General features: G+C 36.4%; 1 protein-coding gene across 28 annotated transcripts in view; it reads left to right on the forward strand.

Annotated features, from left to right (window-relative positions):
• GRIA4 (glutamate ionotropic receptor AMPA type subunit 4) overlaps positions 1 to 23,642 on the forward strand; it is a 372,097-nt gene that overhangs the window by 255,209 nt on the left and 93,246 nt on the right. For all 28 annotated transcript variants that reach the window (NR_046356.2, NM_001440383.1, NM_001440386.1 and 25 more), the window contains one exon: positions 22,317 to 22,370. Coding sequence is in view for 27 of the 28 variants with exons in the window: in NM_001440383.1 (NP_001427312.1) it covers positions 22,317 to 22,370 (54 nt within the window). In the remaining variant the exon portion in view is untranslated. The remainder of the gene's footprint in view (positions 1 to 22,316; positions 22,371 to 23,642) is intronic.

Genomic DNA, 23,642 nt, shown 5'->3' on the forward strand with positions numbered 1-23,642 from the left:
TAAGAAAAAATGGAAGAATGTATGTAAATATCACCCACTGAGTCATTTAAGAGAGTAGAAACATATTGAAACCACAAAGTTAGATTTATTTTGTTCATATCAACACCAATCAAACAAATTGGAATTTTGGCTCTCTAAATCCAATGAGCAATTTGGTCCACTCATTTGCAGAAACAAGCCTTGAAAAGAAATCTAAAATGAGAAGTATTTTTAAGTGTTTGCTGAATTTGTGATGAATTTTTTATAGAATATTTTTACTTAAATTGCTATGAGTTTGAAAGATATTATAAATATCATTGTGGACCCTAGCTTTATTCCTTTCACCTAATTTTCTTCCTATAACAAAAATATCAATTATTTTGTAGAACAGCTTGCAATAGCTTCATGTAGCTGGAATCAAAAGAACCGTTTCATATCAAAATAAGAGATTTATAGTGGGAGTCTTTTATTTATGATTTTTACATGTATCTATTAATTTTAAATTCTGAACTCTATTACTTGCAAAGAGTCCCTATGGATTCTACCTAATAACGTTATCAATTGAACATTGAAGTGTCAGACTTTGGTTCACATGTTTAACCTAGTAGCAAAAAAGCAACAACAAATCTTATCTTAACTCTTTTTCTGGTAGCCAAAGTAATTGAGCAAAATGGCACTTAAGGCTAGTGGTTGCTCACACATTTTACTCCACTGTGATAAAAACCCAAGGGTCCAGCAGCTAGATTTGTGTGTTCCTGTTAGTGAAACCCTATTCCCATGAACTCCCAACTCTGATCCTCTGGAACAGAATTATCCCAATGGGTAGTTGGATGGTCTGCACTCATCTACCTCTTTCTTTGGTCAGTTACATTATATCTCCCAAATTATGATGGTTCCAACAAAATGAAAATGAGTGTTTTCATTCTCTGAGAGATGGATAAGAAATCTTTAGTTGTTTATTTTTAAAACGTAAATGGAATCACTAACCACCTATGATTCTTCTCGTTCTCACTTTAAATAAGGACAGTTGAGCTGAGATGATCTTGAAAATCCTTGCTGTCTCTAAAAGTCAATAATGCTGTTTGCAGTGAAGTCTTTTTGATGATTTGTTTTATCCTAAAGCAATGTATAATTGTATGCATGGGATATACCTTGAAAAGAAGCGTGTATTAATAGTAAAACTTCAGTCAGGTGACCTTTTCTGGATATTTATTCATTCTACAAACATTTGTTAAGTCCCCACTGTGTTGTGTGTGTGTGTTTGTGTGTGTGTGTGTGTGACACTGCATATGCAGTGTGTGTATACATATATAATACACATACATATATATACACACATACATATATACGCATATGTGTGTGTGTGTGTGTATATATATATATATATATATATATATATATATTCAGGTACTATGCTCTGCTGAAGATACAGTGCTAAGCAAAACCGATACATTTTCTGCTATGGTTAGTAACTCCTGTCTGGTTAACTAAGGTTTAAACCAAAAGTATTTCCTAAAATCCTACTAAAATATATGATTTCTTTTAGAAATACATTATGTAGAAAGTGATAAAGGATCTTACACTGCCTTGGGGGTTTTGCTATGGATGCCAGTTATTATTAAATAGATGAGATATCAAAGGCATTTGATAGAAAACTAGAACAATATTGATCCTAGTACACATCATGGATGTATTTAAGGAATCTAACCAAGTATTTATCAGGAAAAGATAGTAAGGACTGACCTTAGAGTATGAAGTAGGTATTTAACAAAAGAATGGAGAAAAATGTCTCTACAGTTGACTCACAGGTATCTTAAACTGCTTCTTTATCATGTACCCCAGATTTAATTGGAACCCCTTTCAGCAGTATTGCCACTTTCATTATATGAAAGGGAATTTAGTGTCCCATCAGACACAGTGTGAATCTCGGATTACTGACAAAACCAGTGACCTTCCCACACTGTTTGCAAATCAATCAAAAAAGCCTAAAAGCCACGGCTGACCTCTCAGAGGCTTACTGTGACCAAAAGAAGCCAATAATCCTACCTCAGGGCAAGATCAATGAGAAAGAGAGGAAAATTTCTCAAACCTAAATGAGGCCATTTGCACATAAGAGATGAAATGTGGACATGATCCCAGTTAACTTATTCTAAACCCAAGGCTGCCTACCATGTCTAGTACCATCTAAGTGAGATGTTAGGACTCAGAATTTTTGGCAAATGGTCAAATGCATGGCAATACTTAGTAAAAGCCTATTTATCTAGAGTTTTCATTTACAAATTTTCACAACTCTCAAACATCAGGTATCGTACAAATCTAGAACTCTGTCAGTTCCCCCGGACTCCCAAAAAGTCTCTATATTGAATAAAGCATTAAAAGGAGCTGAAGGCTTAAACAGCCTGCCTCTGTATCCCATAACTGGTTGAGTCAATACCTAAAAGGAAAGGAACATTTTTGTTACTGGCTAATGGCCATGAGGTCAATTTTTTGTACCAAAGCCAAAAAGCAAAACAAAACAAAACCCTCAAAAACAGAAGAGACAGAAGAAACAAAAAGAAGCACAATAAGAAGAGGAAAGATAGCTATAGTTATAAGGAGGAGGAGTCATTACAGGAGAGATCTCATAATTGGAGATAACAGCTTTGATTATTTGAATCATCTATATAGGATTCAGTGGCATACACTCTGACAGTAGGAATGAGCCAACAACTGTAGGTGGGACAGCTCTGCACTTGACACCTCATACATTCATTCAACGTCTGCATGCCAGACATTGTTCCAGGCACTGCAATGCGTGCTGTACAAAGGTGAGCAACTCATGGTCCTTACACAACATTTACACTCAAGCTGGGAACTCAGAAACATGCATAAATAATTACAAAATAATTTGATGGCTTCAGAAACAGAGATATTACAAAAATGTATGAAGAATCCAGAAGATGGGGTAACTAAGTATAATCAAGGCAGTCCCAAATGTTTCACAGAGAAAAGAAGCATTTAAACTGAAAATGCACTGGATCTTTCCAGCCAGAGAAAAGGGGTAAGGGTATTCCAAGACAGAACGAACTGTAAAGGAAACGAGATCTGAAAATGCTCAAAAGGTAATCAAGATTGGTTTGAAGCAAAAGTAGAAGCTGAAACGGAGCAGTAGACAAAGTTGAAGCTGTAAAGATTGGAGGTAGCAGAAATGTAGATTCCTTGCATTACACCAGTTTAGTTGTCTATCTTTCCTATTGAAATCTTATCTCCATCAGGGCGGAGTCTATGTTTATTGTTACCAATACATCCCCTAGTGATGATAGGGGTTCAAACAACAATTGTCGAATAAATTGGAAGTCTAAATGAGCCTCACTTGAAGACACAGGCAGGAGACACATTTTGTACGTGTTTAAGGGAAGTCTTCAATTACCTGGGAGGCTTTCTTGTCCAGAATTTCACCTGTCCAAGATTATGGGACACCTACATGTCCCAGAGTTTGTTGTACAGGCTGAAAAAAGCAAGAGTTTTATTTCCATATATTAAAGTAACAATGGGTGAGATGCAACAGGAACAAATCAGGCACTCACAGAAATTACTACAGCAAAGCAGTCATATCAGCAATTTCCCGCACTGCAGTACTGGCAGAGCTTGCTGCTTTGCTTCATTATAAAGCTCCTTTTGCATATTGAGCTTTGCTCAATCAGGATCTACAACAAAGTAAGAAGAAACTCGAAAGATGTGAGGTTTTGCTAAGAAGGTGAATTTTACTTCTTTAATATTACTATTTAGCAGAACTGATTCGAATGTGCAAGTCCTATTATGATGCACTAGGTTTGTTGTTTTCATGGAAAACAGAAACACCTTTACAGATCTGCTGGACTAGTGCAAATGGAATTGGTGGGGGTTAGAAAGGGGTGTCTAATTGTCTCCTAGCAACTGTTACCATGGTTGCAGCCATACCTCATTTTCTTATAAAGTAAAAAATAGGATAAAATAAAAGGCAAAGTGAAGGAGCCAAAGGATATAAGTTTTTTCAAGGAAGAAGAAAAATATGATTGTCAGAATGCAAGTGCTTTTGTCTGGGAAGAATCATGAATTCTACGATTAGGTTAGGTTCAACTAAATATGTTTTAGTTGATGCTGCAAGAACACTTACTGGAACAATTTCTACTATTGTTTTTGACAGAAACATCCAAAACTTCAGCTTCTTTTACAAAGATAAAGGAAAATCTGCTTGATAATTTTAGAGGTATAAAATGAAGTAGTTTTTCTAGCCTTAAATCAAAAGCAGCTGCATACAAGTATCTACTGTGGTTTAGGGAGAGGTAAGTTATATTCCTCATTAGGTAGAAAAGAGAGGATAACATCATAATTATTTCAGTAGAATTTTGCATCTACTCCTCAAATGTTTTAAATGTTTAAAAGGCAGTGAGATTAACAAAAAGGCAGCAAAACATTCAACAGTACCTTTGAGGACCCTTTTCTGAGTCTTGTAAACATCATAAACATAACTACATTTTTATAAATTATACAGTATTTATATTAAACAGTTCAGTAATAAAGTGTGCTCTCTGCCAGCAAATGAAGTGCTACATTGTTTTATCCACTTTGATTCAGTCAGAAAAGTAATGGAACAAATTCATTTCTAAACCTTCCCTCAAGATTAGCCACCTAATTGGACACTAGTTCCCTGCTGATACAGATTTTCTCCAATCTCATATACAACTTGTGACAAGTTTAAGATTAGAAGGAAATAAAGTAGTGTAATTTTTACCAAAATAATAATGATAAGGTTCACATAACCACTGGTAAAGATAAAAATGAAAGACAGTTTAAGATTGGATATAAGAAATTTATTTTCCATTTTTTAAAGTTTTTTCCCAGGGCCATATATACCAAAGAGTTCTATTATTCATCCAAAGTCTAGACATAATTTGCTTCCGTATTTGACTTAAAGTTTTCTTTTTAAAACCACAGAACTCATGCTGGGGATTATATATATAGTGTGCATGTGTGATGAAATATATATATTCTATATTTAATATATATTCTGTTTTTATAATTTATTCTAATTCTTTTAGAAATTATTCTAATTTTATAATTAATTTTGTGTTCATAATATAATTATATAAATATTGTGCAGTAACACAAGAGAAACAAATTTTCTTGTCTCTGCCCACCACATTCTATTATTTTCCTTTCTTATACCTGTACCACAACACTTATCCATTTGGTCATTTATTTAACACACATTTATCCAGTACCTACTAATTTCCAAGCACTGCATATAAGTTACATCAATTTTAGTCGATGCTGTGAAGGAACTCTGAATGCAAAGAAAAACAGAAGAACACAATCAAATAACGCAGCACAATGTGGAAAGGTACAAAAAAAAAAAAGACAGAAGCAAATTATTGAAAGGGGAGTTTGAATTCCCCAGGCAGAGACGCTGGGAAAGAGCATTCAAGGAAGATGGCATGTGTGAGAACAGGGTAATAGGAGAGAGCTTCGTGTCCTGGGAAAGAAGTGAATGTGGATGGAGCCTAACCACAGAGGGTATGAGATTGCCAAGGCAAATTAAAGGCAGATTATGAGTGGCCTCATGGGCTTTACTAGGAAGTTTTAAATTCATCATTGCATCATAGATGTCATCGGATGTTTTTAAACATGATTGACGTCGTGTTTTAGAGCCATAATTCCGATGACAACATAGAGAATGAACCAGAAAGAAGGTAGAAAGCCAAGTGACTGAGCAGTGTACCTGGTGACTAAGGAGTGTAGCAAATAAACAATGATACTTCATCTGTAGACTATATTTTTTATAGTCACATTTATACCAGTGTATAACTTAATTTGTTTGACATCTACTTAAATATTTATTGAGTGCCTGTTATAGGTCAGGCCAGGCATATCCTCGGCTTAGGAAAACCCCTGCACATTGCAGTTTATATTTTAGTGGGGAAGCCACACAATAAAGGAACAAATATATAATGCCATATAGTGATAATGAGAAATTATTAATGTATTAAATTTGTTTATTAAATGTCTAATTTGCCAAACACCATTTTTGTTAAGATTTTAAGAAGTGTAACTAATCCAAGTAGGGTTTTTAGAAAAATAAATTTGTTTTGGCAATTTTAATAGTATTGCTAGTCAATATGAATAATAGCCTTTAAGTTTTGACTGGCCTGTGGACAAATATAGGCAAAATAAACTGAGCTTGCTATGCAAAAATTACATACCCACAGCAAATAGGTCAATCTAGTTTATTAGGGAGAGGTTTTTTTTTGTGTTTTATTTCTATAGTTAGACCTTTGGGATTTTTAAAATAATATTTATAATAATATTTATTTTAATAATATGGGAAGTAATCATTTTAACAAATGTAAATATGTCTAACTGATTTATAAAGACAGGGTATCTACTTACATCTGTGTCTTTATGAATCCACTTCAGAGGAAGCTGGTTGTCTATTACATATTTGAAGTATAGCATAACAAAGCCCAAATAAACTCAAATGTGAAAAAAAAATCTGCTGAAATAAAAGCAAAGAGAATGACTTTGAAGTCATATGACTTTCAGAATTAATCACAATTTCATGTCAAATATAATTTAAAACATGCAAATGTAAAACCCTGACCAAAAATGGTATTAGCTGAAGTTATTTAATATTGAAGATTACTTCCAAAATTATGAACTGAACATATTTTATAGTCTAATTGAGTCATTTTTGTGGGTATAGATTATCAACACTGAAGGGAAATAAGAAAATGATGCTAAAGCAACATTTATGTTTATGCTAAAGCAACATAAAGTCAGAAATGTATGTGAAAGTTAAGGAAGGAGGTGAGTGAAAGATAATGCTCTAGGAAGAATGTCCTTAAACAACCTTTTAAAACTGCTCTACAGAACTGCATACCCTAGCTATTGAGACTTCACTGTACATTAGCATATTGAAGTCTCTAAAAATTCCTATGGCAAAGAAACCTCTTAAACCTTATTTAACCTAGTGTTCTTTGTAAAATTGGCTGTAAAACACTTTGAAGCCACTTCTTTATAATTTATTTGCCTTGTATTCATCCAAGAAAATAAAAGAAAACTTGATTTAAGAAAAATGAAAGAAGAAAGGACATTCAGATGATATTATCTCAAATATAATAAAGAAAAGATATATAACAGCAAGGGGCTAGGGTGAGAACATCACATATTAAAAGAAGCCTCCCAGAGCCAATGGCTCACACAGTCCTCTACACTGGAGAATCACAGAATCATAGACTCTCAGGTTGACTGGTTCTTAGAAGTTCATCCATCCTGTGAACAAAATCTTCACCAGGTGCTTATGAATTCCACAGTTGAACAATTTCATCTTCAACATATTTGACGTTAAAATTCAGCAAGTATTCCTCCCTAATGATATATCCCTTTGAAACATTCATAACAGTATGTGATATTTGAAGATAACTTTTATTCCCATCACCACCAGCCCCATCAAGTTTTCTTTATAATTCAAGAATAGATATCTACTCATTGATATGTCCAATTAGAGACATCTCAAGAAATTAGATATTTGACTTTCTGGTTAAACAAAATTAACTGTATATACTACTACTTTTGGAATTATCATGTTCAAAAAGTATACCATAAGATGTAAATACCATTGAACTATACTGTGAATAGTTTAATTTTTTGTATATAAATGAACTGTAAATTTTTATTTTTTAATTTACTGAGAATTTTTTCACAGGAATATCTTAGATTGAACATGGTGTATCTTTTTTTATTTTTTTAAGTTCTGGGATACATGTGCAGAATGTGCAGGTTTATTACATAGGTATACATGTGCCATGGTGGTTTGCTGCACCCATCAACCCGTCATCTACATTAGGTATTTCTTCTAATGCTATTCCTCCACTAGCCCCCCACTCCCTGACAGGCCCCAGTGTGTGATGTTCCCCTCCCTGTGTCCCTATATTCTCATTGTTCAACTCTCACTTATGAGGGAGAACATGCAGTGTTTGGTTTTCTGTTCCTGTGTTAGTTTGCTGAGAATGATGGTTTCCAGCTTCATCCATGTTCCTGCAAAGGACATGAACTCATCCTTTTATGGCTGCATAATATTCCATGGTATATTTGTGCCACATTTTCTTAATCCAGTCTACCATTGATGGGCATTTGTGTTGGTTCCAAGTCTTTTCTATTGTGAATAGTGCTGCAATAAACATACGTGTGCATGTGTCTTTACAGTAGAATGATTTATAATCCTTTGGGTATATATACCCAGTAATGGGATTGCTGGGTCAAATGGTATTTCTGGTTCTAGATCCTTGAGGAATGGCCACACTGTCTTCCACAATGGTTGAACTAATTTACACTCCCTCCAACAGTGTAAAATTGTTTCCATTTCTCCACATCCTCGCCAGCATCTGCTGTTTGACTTTTTAATGATCGCCATTCTAACTGGCATGAGATGGTATCTCATTGTGGTTTTGATTTGCATTTCTCTAATGACCAGTGATCAGGAGCTTTTTTTCATGTTTCTTGGCCACAAAAATGTCTTCTTTTGAGAAGTGTCTGTTCATATACTTTGCTCACTTTTTGATGGGGTTGTTTGTTTCTTGTAAATTTGTTTAAGTTCCTTGTAGATTCTGGATATTAGCCCTTTGTCAGATGGATAGATTGCAAAAATTTTCTCCCATTCTGTAGGTTGCCTGTTCACTCTGATGATAGTTTCTTTTGCTCTGCAGAAGCTTTTTAGTTTAATTAGATCCCATTTGTCAGTTTTGGCTTTTGTTGCCATTGCTTTTGGTGTTTTAGTCATGAAGTCTTTGCCCATGCCTATGTCCTGAATGGTATTGCCTAGGTCTTCTTCTAGGGTTTTCATAGTTTTAGGTCTTATGTTTAAGTCTTTAATCCATCTTGAGTTAATTTTTGTATAAGGTGTACAAAAGGGGTCCAGTTTCAGTTTTCTGCATATGGCTAGCCAGTTTTCCCAGCACCATTTATGGAATAGGAGATCCTTTCCCCATTGCTTGTTTTTGTAAGGTTTGTCAAAGATCAGATGGTTGTAGATGTATGGTGTTATTTCTGAGGACTCTGTTCTGTTCCATTGGTCTATATATCTGTTTAGGTACCAGTACCATGCTGTTTTGTTTACCATAGCTTTGTAGTATAGTTTTAAGTCAGGTAGTGTGATGCCTCTGACTTTGTTCTATTTGCTTAGGATTGTCTTGGCTATACAGCCTCTTTTTTCGGTTCCATATGAAATTTAAAGTAGTTTTTTCTAACCCGGTGAAGAAAGTCAGTGGTAGCTTGATGGAGATAGCATTGAATCTATAAATTACATTGGGCGGTATGGCCATTTTCATGATATTGATTCTTCCTATCCATAAGCATGGAATGTTTTTCCATTTGTTTGTGTCCTCTCTTATTTCCTCGAGCAGTGGTTTGTAGTTCTCCTTGAAGAGGTCCTTCATATCCCTTGCAAGTTGGATTCCTAGGTATTTTATTCTCTTTGTAGCAATTGTGAATGGGCGTTCACTATTGATTTGGCTGTTTGTCTATTATTGGTGTAAAGAAATGCTTGTGATTTTTGCACTTGATTTTGTATCCTGAGACTTTGCTGAAGTTGCTTAACAGCTTAAGGAGATTTTGGGCTGAGAAGATGGGGTTTTCTAAATATACAATCATGTCATCTGCAAATAGAGACAATTTAACTTCCTCTATTCCTATCTGAATACACTTCATCTCTTTTTCTTGCCTGATTACCCTGGCCAGAACTTCCAATAATGTGTTGAATAGGAGTGGTGAGAGAGGGCATCCTTGTGTTTTGCCAGTTTTCAAAGGGAATGCTTCCAGCTTTTGCCCATTCAGTATGATATCGCCTGTGCGTTTGTCATGAATAGCTCTTATTATTTTGAGATACGTTCCATCAATACCTAGTTTATTTAGAGTTTTTAGCATGAAGGGGTGTTGAATTTTACCGAAGGGCTTTTCTGCATCTATTGAGATAATCATGTGGTTTTTGTTATTGGTTCTGTTTATGTGATAGATTATGTTTATTGATTTGCATATGTTGAACCAGCCTCACATCTCAGGGATGAAGGCGACTTGATCGTGGTAGATAAGCTTTTTAATGTGCTGCTGGATTCGGATTGCCAGTATTTTAATGAGGATTTTCGCATTGATGTTCATCAGGGATATTGGCCTGAAATTTTCTTTTTTTGTTGTGTCTCTGCCAGGTTTTGGTAACAGGATGATGCTGGCCTCATAAAATGAGTTAGGGAGGAGTCCTTCTTTTTCTATTGTTTGGAATTGTTTCAGAAGGAATGGTACCAACTCCTGTTTGTACCTTTGGTAGAATTTGGCTGTGAATCTGTCTGGTCCTGGGCTTTTTTGGTTGGTAGGCTATTAATTACTGCCTCAATTTCAGAACTTGTTATTGGTCTATTCAAGGATTCTACTTCTTCCTGGTTTAGTCTTGGGAGGGTGTATGTGTCCAGGAATTTATCCATTTCTTCTCGATGTTCTAGTTTATTTGCATAGAGGTGTTTATAGTATTCTCTGATGGTAGTTTGTATTTCTGTGGAATTAGTGGTGATATCCCCTTTATTATTTTTTACCGTGTCTATTTGATTCTTCTCTCTTTTCTTCTTTATTAGTCTAGCTAGTGGTCTATCTATTTTGTTAATCTTTTAAAAAACTAGCTCCTGGATTCATTAATTTTTTTAATGGTTTTTTTGTGTCTCTGTCTCCTTCAGTTCTGCTCTGATCTTAGTTATTTCTTGTCTTCTGCTAGCTTTTGAATTTGTTTGCTCTTGCTTCTCTAGTTCTTTTACTTGTGATGTTAGGGTGTCGATTTTAGATCTTTACTGCTTTCTCCTGTGGGCATTTAGTGCTACAAATCTCCATCTAAACACTGCTTTACCTGTGTCTCAGACATTCTAGTACATTGTGTCTTTGTTCTCACTGGTTTCAAATAACTTATTTATTTCTGCCTTAATTTTGTTATTTACCCAGTAGTCATTCAGGAGCAGGTTGTTCAGTTTCCATGCAGTTGTGGGGTTTTTAGTGAGTTTCTTAATCCTGAGTTCTAGTTTGAGTTCACTGTGGTCTGAGAGACTGTTTGTTATGATTTTTGTTCTTTTGCATTTGCTAGGGAGTACTTTACTTACAGTTATGTGGTCAGTTTTAGAATAAGTGTGAGGTGTTGCTGAGAAGAATGTATATTCTGTTGATTTGGGGTGGAGAGTTCTGTAGATGTCTATTAGGTCCACTTGATCCAGAGCTGAGTTCAAGTCCTGAATATCCTTGTTAATTATCTGTCTCTTTGATCTGTCTACTATTGACAGTGGGGTGTTAAATTTTCCCACTATTATTGTGTGGGAGTCGAGGTTTCTTTGTAGGTCTCTAAGAACTTGCTTTATGAATCTGGGTGCTCCTGTATTGGGTGCAAATATATTTAGGATCGTTAGCTCTTCTTGTTGCATTGATCCCTTTACCATTATGTGATGCCCTTCTTTGTCTTTTTTGATCTTTGTTGATTTAAAGCCTGTTTTATCAGAGACTAGGATTGCAACCCCTGCTTTTTTTTGCTTTCCATTTGCTTGATAAATCTTCCTCCATCTCTTTATTTTGAGCTTATATGTGTCTTTGCACATGAGATGGGTCGCTGAATACAGCACACCGATGGGTCTTGACCCTTTATCCAATTTGCCAGTCTGTGTCTTTTAATTGGGGCATTTAGCCCGTTTACATTTAAGGTTAATATTGTTACATGTGAATTTGATCCATCATTATGATGCTAGCTGATTATTTTGCCCGTTACTTAAAGCAGTTTCTTCATAGTGTCAATGGTCTTTACAATTGAGTATGTTTTTTGCAGTGGCTGGTACCAGTTTTTCCTTTCCATATTTAGTGCTTCAGCAGCTCTTGTAAGGCAGGCCTGGTGGTGACAAAATCTCAGCATTTGCTTGTCTGTAAAGGATTTTATTTCTCCTTCGCTTATGAAGCTTAGTTTGGCTGGATATGAAATTCTGGGTTAAAAAATCTACCCTTTAAGAATGTTGAATATTGACCCCCACTCTCTTCTGGCTTGTAGGGTTTCTGCAGAGAAATCCACTGTTAGTCTGACAGGCTTCCCTTTGTGGGTAACTCAACCTTTCTCTCTGGCTGCCCTTAACATTTTTTCCTTCATTTCAACCTTGGTGAATCTGACAATTACGTGTCTTGGGGTTGCTCTTCTCAAGGAGTATCTTTGTAGTGTTCTCTCCATTTCCTGAATTTGAATATTGGCCTATCTTGCTAGGTTGAGGTAGTTCTCCTGGATAATATCCTGAAGAGTGTTTTCCAACTTGCTTCCTTTCTCCTCGTCACTTTCAGGTACACCAATCAAATGTAGGTTTGGTCTTTTCACATAGTCCCATATTTCTTGGACGCTTTTTCATTAGTTTTCATTCTTTTTTCTCTAACCTTGTATTTATGCTTCATTTCATTAAATTGATCTTTAATCTCTGATATCCTTTCTTCTCCATGATCAATTCAGCTATTGATATTTGTGTACGCTTCACGAAGTTCTCATGCTGTGTTTTTCAGCTCCACCAGGTCATTTATGTTCTTCTCCAAACTGGTTATTCTAGTTAGCAATTCCTCTAACCTTTTTTCAAGGTTCTTAGCTTCCTTGCATTGGGTTAGAACATACTCCTTTAGCCTGCAGTAGTTTGTTATTACCCACCTTCTGAAGCCTACTTCTGTCAATTCATCAAACTCATTCTCTGTCCAGTTTTGTTACCTTGCTGGTGAGGATTTGTGATCCTTTGGAGGAGAAGAGGCGTTCTGGTTTTTGGAATTTTCAGCCTTTTTGCACTGGTTTTTCCTCATCTTCATGGATTTATCTACCTTTTGTCTTTGATGTTGGTGACCTTCAGATGGGGTTTCTGAGTGGACGTCCTTTTTGTTGATATTGATGCTATTCTTTTCTGTTTGTTAGTTTTCCTTCTCTAACAGTCAGGACCCTTTTCTGCAGGTCTGCTGCAGTTGGCTGGAGGTTCACTCCAGACCCTGTTTGCCTGGGTATCACCAGTGGAGGCTGCAGAATAGCAAAGACTGATGCTTGTTCCTTCCTCTGGAAGCTTCATCCCAAAGGGGCACCCGCCAGATGCCAACTGGAGCTCTCCTGTATGAGGTGTCTATTGGCCCCTACTGGGAGGTGTCTCCCAGTCAGGAGGCACAGGGGTCAGGGACCCACGTGAGGAGGCAGTCTGTCCCTTAGCAGAGCTCAAGCACTGTGCTGGGAGATCCACTGCTCTCTTCAGAGCCAGCAGGCAGGAATGTTTAATTCTGCTGAAGCTGTGCCCACAGCCACCCCTTCCCCCAGGTTCTCTGTCACAGGGAGATGGGAGTTTTACCTATAAGCTCATGACTGGCACTGCTGCCTTTCTTTCAGAGATGCCCTGTATGGTGAGGAAGAATCTAGAGAGGGAGTCTGGCTACAGTGGCTTTGCTGGGCTATGGTGTGCTCCGCCCAGTTCAAACTTCCTGGAGACTTTGTTTACAATGTGGGGTAATGGCAGAGGCCCTTCCCTCCACCAAGCTGGAGTGTCCCAGGTTGACCTCAGACTGCTGTGCTGGCAGCGAGAATTTCAAACCAGTGGATCTTAGCTTGCTGGGCTCCGTAGGGGTGGGATCCACTGAGCTAGACAACTTGGCTCCCTGGCTTCAGCCCCCCTTTCCAGAGGAGTAAATGGTTCTGTCTCACTGGCATTCCAGGTGCCACTGGGGTATGAAAAAAACTCCTGCAACTAGCTCAGTGTCTGCCCAAATGGCTGCCTAGCTTTGTGCTTGAAACCCAAAGTCCTGGTGGTGTAGACACCCGAGGGAATCTCCTGGTCTGCAGGTTGTGAAGACTGTGGGAAGAGCGTAGTATCTGGGACAGAATGCACCATCCCTCATGGCACATTCTCTTACAGCTTCCCTTGTCTAAGGGAGGGAGTTCCCTGACCTCTTGTGCTTTCCAAGTGAGGTGACACCCCACCCTGCTTCTGCTCACCCTCCGTGGGCTGCACCCACTGTCTAACCAGTCCCAGTGAGATGAGCCAGGTATCTCAGTTGGAAATGCAGAAACACCTGCCTTCTGCATTGATCTCGATGGGAGTGGCAGACCGGAGCTGTTCCTATTCGGCCATCTTGCCCAGGTCCCCGGTAGTTTCATTTTTAATTGATTACTTTGAGCTTGTTGTACATAAATAAAATTACCTATTGGACTGAGTTGTATTTGCCTTACATTTGGGATACGTACATGAACTGTCATTTTCAATATACATTTGGAAAAGTACAAGCTACACAAAAATAAATCCAAGTTATTTAAGCTTTTCTGCTAATTTGCTTTATTATGCATATATGAAGAAACTGCAAACCCAGACTAGGATGCATTAAAGTTTACCTGATAATTCTCCACCTGTGTGTCCCTGTCTTAGCCCCATACAAAATGGAATTAGGAGTACTTTGTATATATACTGTTATTCAAATCAGCAATATGTTCAGACAAGAGATTATTTGTAAGGAAAGAATTGTGTCTTTGTTTCATTATGAGAAAGCTTGGATTTCTCATAAACAGGTTTGGTATTCATCAATTATCTAATATGATAGACAATGTTATTCTCACAGGTATATATTTTATTCATTTTTCTCTTATGAAAGATATATTAACATTGGCTAAAAATAAGTCTGAATTCCTGTGGTCTAAAGAAGGGAACAGGGTGTAGTGAAAACAGTATGGAAACTATAGTCAAAAGACCCAGCTGGAGTTCCAGCTTCATCACTTAATGCCTATATTTATTTAATGTAATTGTTTATGAAAGGAAGGAATTACCCCTTCCACCCCTTCTAATAATTCTACATCTTATTAGAACTATATTTATATTGTTTCTTACAAATGTCTCCTTAATTTAAAAAGAGCTTGCTTCTAATGGTTCTTTCAAGCTGTTACATGTGCTTCAAACTCATAATCACAAATGCCATACAATCATTTACACCTCTTTGCAAATATTTTAAATCACTAAATTAAAATGTTATTAAATCAAAATGGAGCTGTGCTAAGAATTGTTCATAGTTGAGATGATGAGAATCTTATTATCCAAGGCTTGTAGATGTAGAATTTTAGAACCACCATGATAGGCAGAGAGAAGGATATACTCTACAAGTGCTTTTCAATAGCCATTGGCAGTTCCATGGTGGGATAAAGGGGTGGCATGGAACGAACACAGGACAAGGAATCAAACAGCTGAATTTCAGCACTTGCTTTTCACTCTATAGTTCTAGGACCCTATCCAAACCATATCTCTTGTAGGGCACTCAGTTTGCTAATCAATAAAATTGGGGAGAGATGCATATAAAGTGATCTAAAATCTGTGACCTGAAAGGATGGAACTGAAGGTCATTTTTTTTAATATTTGGAATAGTCAGAAAAAGAAATAATAAAAAACCGGTACTAAGAATGGATATTCACAAGTGAAGACATTTTGAAGGTGAAAATTTTGTTAGAAATAGAAATAATTTACTAAATAAAGACACTGAGTCATTCCTATTAGCCTATGTGAGACAGTAAACCTTTTTCAACAGTTTAGATATCCAAATAGAGGTATGGTATCTTATGCAACCTGAGTTTTTAATAATACCTAGAGAGTAAGTATTTAAATATAAATATAGAATGATACAGAGATGAAAAGCTTGGGATCATTAGCCAACAAAAGTATTTTTTTACATTATCAATTCTACTACTACAATGGTTTACTTGGAGACTGTCATAGTTGATTTCCCCCAGAGGCTGACCTTAAAACAAAGATCTGTGTGCACACAGTTTGTTTGGGAAGTAAAGAACAGGCTGGAAGAGGAGTAGAGAAATTTAGTCAATGAAAGATGCATTTATCAAGCAAATTGCCATCTGGGTGACAGGGGGTTAATTCCATTTGGAATGAGTGTAAACTAATTACTGGAGGAGGCTAGTGTAGAACAAACACTTAGGAATCATGTCATTTGTTGGGCAAGGGAGTTGGAGTACTTATGTACCAACTCCTCTCAGGAATTGTATGTGGGCTGCTGGGAAGGAGGACATTAATGCTCTGGCACTTCTAAACTCTTCCTTCTCCAAGGGCAATATCAGCTCTGTAGACCACAGAAAACCTACAGGCAAGGAAATTCAGGTGCTGGCAGTTGGAAGGTGAGCAAGTATGCATTGACATGACAAGGAAACAGATGAGGCAAGACATTGATAGTGTCTATTATGGTGAGTGACCATAGAGACATCAGACTGTATGGCTTTACAGGACTCTGTCACCCAAAGGACCACCTTATCCCAACATCTTTCACTGAAAGTCAGTCAGACTTTGCTAGGAACTTCCAGTGACAGAGAGATCACTACTTTGAGAGGCAGCCATTCCCTTTATGGGAAACTCTTCTTTCTCTCTCCGTCCTCCAAAAAAGAGTTCTTCCTAATTAGAAACTTCCATAATTTCTGACGTCTCCAAGTATAGAAGAAAATAAACACACACACACACACACGCCCCTGCATACACACATACACACACAGACCTACACACAAATTTGTACGTGCATTGGTGTATCATTTCCTTTAAAATATCTGATAAGAATTTACATTACCTAGCCTCCTCCTAAATCTCATCTCACACAAAACAGCCTTAGTTTTTTGGGGTCTGAAGTACTTTATTTTTCCCACCCCATTTTACATCACAGCCCTGAAACTGAAGTCCTGCTGTTATCTTACAAGGTTGTAGTTTAAGTCTGTTGTTTGTTTGCAAAAGACCCTTGCCTTATATTTTTCTTTTGATGGAACTGAAGTGATACTAAAGCTTTTGTTTTTATCTGCAGTAAAATATTTTAAAGCATTTTGAAAATCAACATTTGGGGAACATTTGGGAGTCTGGAATTTCTATAGAAAAAGAAGACTAGTGAAAGTGACTGCCCTCATGACAATAAGTTGTCAGTATCATGGCCCTAACACCTCTGAATATGTTGTGCCATTTTCTCCATGTCACTGAATTCTCTGGAACATGAAAACAACGGAGAGAGGAATTTCCAGTTGACTTATAAGATCAAATTAAGAGAAAAACCAGTTATTTCTATTCTAGTGTGCCACTGCATGTCTTTAGTTTGGAAGACCATGTTCAATAGAATGATCACAGCCTGGTAGTAATAGTTAGAAATAATATACAGCAACTTTTATAGAAGGACTCCTGAGTACTTTATAAACTATTGATATATAAAGGATTAATGTAAAATCTGATTGTGGATTAAAGGCCAAACTATCATTAATTTGCAAGTCTCAAATTGACCTTAATATGTTAGTGTTTCTGACATTTATATCCTGATTAACTTCTTTATTCATTCCTTGAATCAATATTTATTTAGTGTCTATTCATTCTTAAAAGTCTGCCTTGTTCTCTTAAGCAAGTGATATCACTTCTTGAAACCCACTGCGTTCCCCTTATTCTGCTCTGTATTTTAGTCATTTCTGTGTGTCTCTTCCCCTTATGAGATAATAAACACCCTTGTAACAGCAGCACTGACAGACTTATCTTTATAATCCTTAAATCTCTTAGCCTTAATCGTATAGGTAGGAAGTACTCCATTGGCATTTGTTGAACTAAATTGAACTGAAAAGTGAAGTCAATATGGAAAAGTGTCCTAATTCATTTTCTCCAACTTCCATCAAAGACTAAGGATTTGGAAGTTGCATTCTTGAAGATTGGTTATGCCATAATTTGTTAATAAAACAGTTAAAAATTACAATGTTTGTACCTGGCATTCACCTTATTAATATGCATAGGCCTGATTGCCTGATTATAGAATTTAATTATTTGACCAGCACCATGGATATTCCTAAACAACTCTCTGCTTCTTAAAAAACAAAAACAAAAACAAAACAAACAAAACCCCACACACAGGGAAAAAAAAGTAATGACAAGAATCAATTAGTCACTTCTCTTAAACACGTTATTTTGGTAAGGATTATCATCGTTGAGAGCGTATAATTGATCCTTCCTAAGCTATTCTACAGAACTCTAAACAGACGATCATTATTTTTAGTCTAGTTGCACCGTTTCTTTTTTTTTTTTTTTAATACTTTTAAGTTCTAGGGTACATGTGCACAATGTGCAGGTTTGTTACATATGTATACATGCGCCATGTTGGTGTGCTGCACCCATTAACTTCTCATTTACATTAGGTATAACTCCTAATGCTATCCCTCCCCCCTCCCCCACCCCACGGCAGGCCCAGGTGTGTGATGTTCCCCTTCCTGTGTCCAAGTGTTCTCATTGTTCAATTACCACCTATGAGTCAGAACATACAGTGTTTGGTTTTTTGTCCTTGTGATAGTTTGCTGAGAATGATGGTTTCCAGCTTCATCCATGTCCGTGCAAAGGACACAAACTCATCATTTTTTATGGCTGCATAGTATTCCATGGTGTATATGTGCCACATTTTCTTAATCCAATCTATCATTGATGGACATTTGGGTTGGTTCCAAGTCTTTGCTATTGTGAATAGTGCTGCAATAAACATACGTGTGCATGTGTCTTTATAGCAGCATGATTTATAATCCTTTGGGTATATACCCCGTAATGGGATGGCTGGGTCGAATGGTATTTCTAGTTCTAGATCCTTGAGGAATCGCCCCACTGTCTTCTACAATGGTTGAACTAGTTTACAGTCCCACCAACAGTGTAAAAGTGTTCCTAATTCTCCACATCCTCTCCAGCACCTTTATGCAGCCAACAGACACATGAAAAAATGCTCATCATCACTGGCCATCAGAGAAATGCAAATCAAAACCACAATGAGATACCATCTCACACCAGTTAGAATGGTGATCATTAAAAAGTCAGGAAGCACCGTTTCTTTCAAAAATATAAAATATGCAGATTGTCTTCCCCTACATTTTTCTGTCTTTAGGAAAGGCCATAATTAATTTTGCAACCAACTACTCACCCTGGGCATTGTTTTCCCATGACAACTAAGCCAGCCACACTTGTGTGAACACAGTTCCATTTTATATTCCTATCTTTCAACTCAAACTGTTTCTTTTCCCTATTTATATATTTTTTAAAAAGCAATTACATAGGAGATACAAGGTTTGGTCTGCACCCACAGTCAACTCATTCAAATTTATTCTTTACAGAAGATACTCTTCACTTTTGTTGAGATGATGAAAGCCATGTGAAACCACAACGATGACACTGTCAGTTTTACACAATCATTTAAAAATAAACAACACCCTATTTACAGGACACCACTCAATGGATTGTAAATCGAATTTTTTCACAAAGAAACTAAGGCAATGAGAACTTCACAGCGTTTGTGCAGTACATTTGTTTTTTTCCCAGCCAGGATCTGGCTCAGCAGAGATACTGATGCCTCTAGCATCACCAGCCAGGTAAATAAATCTCCAGATCCCTGCTCCCCAAGCTCTCAGTTACCAGAATGTTGATGCATATGGAGCTCTGCAAGACCTTTTGTGCCAGGAATTTTGTCCCTTTCAGTTCTTTGTGGTATTATAAGTCCTCACTCTTTGAAAATGCGTTGTATAAGCTTTAATTTATTATAGTTTTTTGCTAAACAATCTTGAATGGACAATGAGTTCTTTATGGAGACACCCAGTGCAGAATTTTTACTGATTCCACATCTTTTTAACATTTACAAGTATTTCCACTTAAAATGGATTTTTAAAATTAAACTGACACATTTTTGACTGCAGTCACAAAGAAATCACAAGCTGAGAGTGTTAAGAAATAAGAGGCAGGGTGCGGACAGGGGCTTAGAGAGAGTGCAAAATGGCTTAAATAGCCACACCAGAAGAACGTATAGTGAATCAGCAAGAGATAAATAACGGATTGCTGAGTGGCAACAACCCCTGCTGTAGCCAAATAGCAGGAATCTGTAGTAGACTCCATAATAGAATATGCCAATATGCCATTTCGTGGCTGAGTGGCATCAAGCATCCTCCTGATAATTACCTTTTGCACAAGCTAGACTGGAGATTCCCAGAAAATAAGATGGCTCCATCCTGCTCCACCCATGTTAAATCACTCAAGTCTAGATTGCCCAATATGACACCTAATTCAGCTATTTCATAAACCGAGCTTTCTCCACAATCCCATCTATTTGTTGCTTGTCCTCATCTTCATGGTAAGATTCTCAAGGAAAGTTCTATTTTAGATAAATTGTGGACTAGATAAATCTGGCAATATAAAACATGGAGGAAGGTTATGTAAAATATTATAAATGCATAGCTGAACTTCCAAGACAGTAAAGAAAATCTTCAGGGGCCAAGATGACAGGCAGCTGTGATGAAGGAAATTGCCAGATTGGGTAGGCTGATTGGTCATTTAATGCTTTCCCAAGAACAGAAGCTTTGGGTTCAGTCAAGTCAATACATAAAGCCAGACCAGTGAAGGGCAACAGCCCAATAAAAGGGTATAGCTGAAAAAATTCTGTCCCCTGTACAGAGTCAACTAAGTGTTTTCTGCCTTGGCCTAGGCTTAGTTTGGTGAGGAAAATATCTTCCTTGAGAATCTGTCGTCACAGCCTTGTTCTTGAGGCAGATTGTATTTTGAATTTACATCATATACTGTGGTCTGGGAATCTAGAAGCTGAGAACTTATCATAAAAGTGGCCTCAGGCCAGTGATACCAATATTGCAGTATCTATTAGAAGCAAACAGAAAACATCTTTGAAGGATTATTTTAAGAGATATTGGCAGTGAATTTCCCAGGATTGTTAAAGGGCAATCAGCCCTCATAGTCAGGAAGTACAACAAATCCTAAACAATATGAACAGAAATTAAAAAGTAAAAATCTAAACAACTTGTACTGAAACTGGAGAACATTAAAAATAGAAAGAAGGTCTTGAATGCAATCAAAACAAAAACATAAGATCAGCAGAAATTTTATTTCACCAATAGCCATGTATACAAAACTCTTTTCCAGCACAATTCATATGTTCTGATCTTATTTATTTATTTATTTATTTATTGTTGTGGGTACATAGTAGTATATATATTTATGGGGTCCATGAGATGTTTTGATACAGGCATGCAATGAGTAATAATCACATTATGGAGAATGGGGTATCCACCCCCTCAAGCATTTATCCTTTGTGTTATAAACAATCCAATTACACACTTTTAGTTATTTTAAAAATGTACAATTAAGTTATTATTGACTATAGTCACCCTGTTGTGCTATAAAACAGTATGTTTTATACATTCTTTCCAGCTATTTTTTTCTGTACCCATTAACCATTCCCACCTCCCTCCCACCCCCACTACCCTTCCCTGCCTCTGATAACCATTTTTCTACTCTCTATGTCCATCATACATTCTGATTTTAAAACGGTTTTCCTACATTTCATACATAAGTCACTCAAGTACACAGAATTATTTTTATGGGATAATAAAATGCTTAAAATAATTTAATTTTTGTCTTTGACAATGAACGTACCTGAAAATTGTGGCTTTCACTGTTATCATTGACGACACCAGTGAAGTTACAAAGCTGCTCATTAGTAACTGAAATTAGATTTTCTCTTGTTGAAGGAATTTTCAGTTTTTCAGAGAATGAGAGTTGTAATCTCTAATGCAAAAATAAAATTGAACTTTGAAAAGATCTCTAGAATTTTTTTTAAAAAAAGATGTTTGAGTTTCTAATTTCCTAAACATTTCTGAAAACATTCTCAGAAAAAAAAAAAGAATCCAACAGAGAGAAAAGCTTTTTGATTTTTTTTTTCTTTTTGTAATTATAAGAAAACACTACTGCATTCATATACAGGTGAGAATTCACTAAATATTTTCTGGTATTAGAGATGTCTATAAACAGAGATTGTGCCTTAGAAAAACCTTGCTTGCTACTCAGTCTACTCATAGATGACTATTCTTACCCTATTAAGACACCAAGCAGCCTATCTTCCATTTTTATAAATTATCAATAAGTGAAGTACATCTAAATTCTTCGGATGAAAATCATTTTCAGTTTCTATGTTGATGTATTCTCATGAGAAATATATGTAAATGTTGGTTCATAGCATTGTCATTCTTTTTAAGGAGATTATAATAATTTTCTGAACGAGGTTGATAGAATGTGATTTAAATAAAAGTGGTACTTTTTACCACTTATTCTGAATATGGCTTATCAATTCTTCTAACTATAGTACGTGACTTTTATTTTTTAAAAAACTATCATTTTCCCATCATGATTCTACATGGAATTATGCTAAAATAGATAATAATTTTAAAATAATATTTCAGTGAATTAAAATTGATTTTCTCTTATTTGCTTATATCTTCACAGATTGTAAGTGTTGGAAAGCATGTTAAAGGCTACCATTATATCATTGCAAACTTGGTAAGAACTTCTTATTTTCTACTTTTCATAAGAATTGCTCAAGCACACAAGATTATTTTAACTGTGCCTTAAATAATGCTTCAATAAATAGAGTACATTACTTACTAAGCTTTTAATAACACATGATATTTTATTACAATGATCATTAAATTTCACCAGTAGAATTCAATATATTTTTATGCAGATTAGCTTGGTATCTGCTAAAGAGACCTTTAAAAGAAATGATAATGGTTACTTTGCTACGATACCACTTGTCAAATTAAATAATTTTCTCTGTCTAAATGATAAATGCTACTTTATAGACAAAGATAGCCAATATTTGGATATTATAAGAATGATCTAAACTAATAGCTTATGTTCTCTAATTTTAAGAATAACTGTATATAATGGCTATATAAGCAAATCTTTTAAATGGGAGTAATCCAAATTTTTAAAAATTATGTCAACTTTTCACATATCATATAGAAATGGCTAACAAACAAGATACACATATTTTTATGAAATTCTTAAAGGTCTGAGAGAAATCCTTTTAGATATCTTGGCAAGGCTCATTGAATATGTCTTGTTAACCATGTAGTGTAGGGGGTAGATTATGTATGGAGCGGCCCAGCCTCTCTTGCTTTATTATAGAGTACCATTTGCCCTAAGGGCCTGATTCCCAAAGTGATTTATATTGGAGAAGTTAAGGATGTTTTCTCCTTTTTTTTTTTTTTTTTTTTTTTTTTTTTTGAGACGGAGTCTCACTCTGTCGCCCAGGCTGGAGTGCAGTGGCGGGATCTCGGCTCACTGCAAGCTCCGCCTCCCGGGTTCACGCCATTCTCCTGCCTCAGCCTCCCAAGTAGCTGGGACTACAGGTGCCCGCCACTACGCCCGGCTAATTTTTTTTTGTATTTTTAGTAGAGACGGGGTTTCACCGTTTTAGCCGGGATGGTCTCGATCTCCTGACCTCGTGATCCGCCCGCCTCGGCCTCCCAAAGTGCTGGGATTACAGGCGTGAGCCACCACGCCCGGCCTCCTTTTTCTATTTTTATGACACTTTTTTTTAATGACTATCTTGCGCTTGAAACAGGAAAGAAACTAAAGGATGCAAAAGAGATTCAGATCTACCCATTCTTTCCGTATGGCAAGTGGACTGTCAGACTTTGAGACAGGAATTTTCGGTCTTTAGTGAACTGGGTTTGGTTGTGGATCTGAGATATTAAAATACAGCAAAATACTGTGAACCATGATTATATTGTGTTTCTTAGATAAAGTATAATCTTGCGACTTAAT

The sequence above is a fragment of the Homo sapiens genome, chromosome 11, assembly GCF_000001405.40.
Source record: "Homo sapiens chromosome 11, GRCh38.p14 Primary Assembly".
Classification (NCBI taxonomy): domain Eukaryota; kingdom Metazoa; phylum Chordata; class Mammalia; order Primates; family Hominidae; genus Homo; species Homo sapiens.